Here is a 1,159-nt window from a genome sequence, read left to right on the forward strand (position 1 = left end):
GTCCTACAAATAGGATCAACAGCATAAAAGAGAAGATTGCCTTTTCTCACTTCAAGCAATCAAGGATGCTATTACAGAAACTTGCAGAAGGCCAAGCAGAGGGTTTGCCTGTTGCAATACCAATTGTTTGCAGAATTGTATTAATATTCCATAGCTATCGCTACATTTTCAAATAAGATAGGTAAAGAAATTAAATGCAAAGTGACAGTGTGGAGCCCTATTGAAAAAGTTATTTCTCAAACATTTACAATTTACATTTTTTTAATCAATCACGACAAACCCAGATAAAAACATTTGGCCTCTAATGTACATTCCATTCTAATTATAAAATGACCAATCTACTTTCTAAGCTGTTTGATCTGTACCTGTATTTACATCTTCCCCTTGCCTGTTGCTTCCAACAGACATCTAAGATTGTCTGGGTTTTGGACCTGCCTACACAGATGCAATTTTTGATGTCATTTTCACATAAAGTTAAATACCTCTGGATCCTTGTAGCCTTTTTCCTCCATTGGTTTCATTATCCCAGACTCAACACGCACGACTCTCTGTCTTTATTAAGATATTTTGGTTTCTCCTGGAAAATAAAAAGTGCATGTAATCTAGCCCATTGTGGTTTTAATCACAGCAAAAATGATAACAGGATTTGCTCACAGCTTCATTTAAACATCCTTGTGAATAAGCACCCCCTCCCCCGAGATTCATTCCAGCCAAGGAACACAGGCCATAAGCACTGGTCAGTTTCCCATCACCCTGGTTCTGGTCTGGTGGAGAGAGTGAAATATTCAGGTACTCATGACTTCTCTGCTTTCCAGTATATTCTGTCTCAATCTAATTCTAAGTAAGCTTAACAACTCCAGAAAACTCTGTTTTTGTGGCTAAAATTGAGTGTCAGTATTCTTTCCTACCTATCCTAGGCTAAAGCCCAAACACCACTCCCTTCTTGCAACCACAGATGCTCCTGAGCTGAGAGAATAACAGAGGAGCCCATGGACTCATTGTTCCTGCATGCTCATGCATGGCGTAATAGAGATATAAAGGTTGGCACAGAATGTTGTATGGAGGGTGTTTCTAGGGTCCATCCACAGCAGGCATCAGAATGGCTAGGAATAACCATGCACTGGTGTTGCTCAATAATTTGCTTTCCCAGTGCTAATGA

The sequence above is a fragment of the Homo sapiens genome, chromosome 5, assembly GCF_000001405.40.
Source record: "Homo sapiens chromosome 5, GRCh38.p14 Primary Assembly".
Classification (NCBI taxonomy): domain Eukaryota; kingdom Metazoa; phylum Chordata; class Mammalia; order Primates; family Hominidae; genus Homo; species Homo sapiens.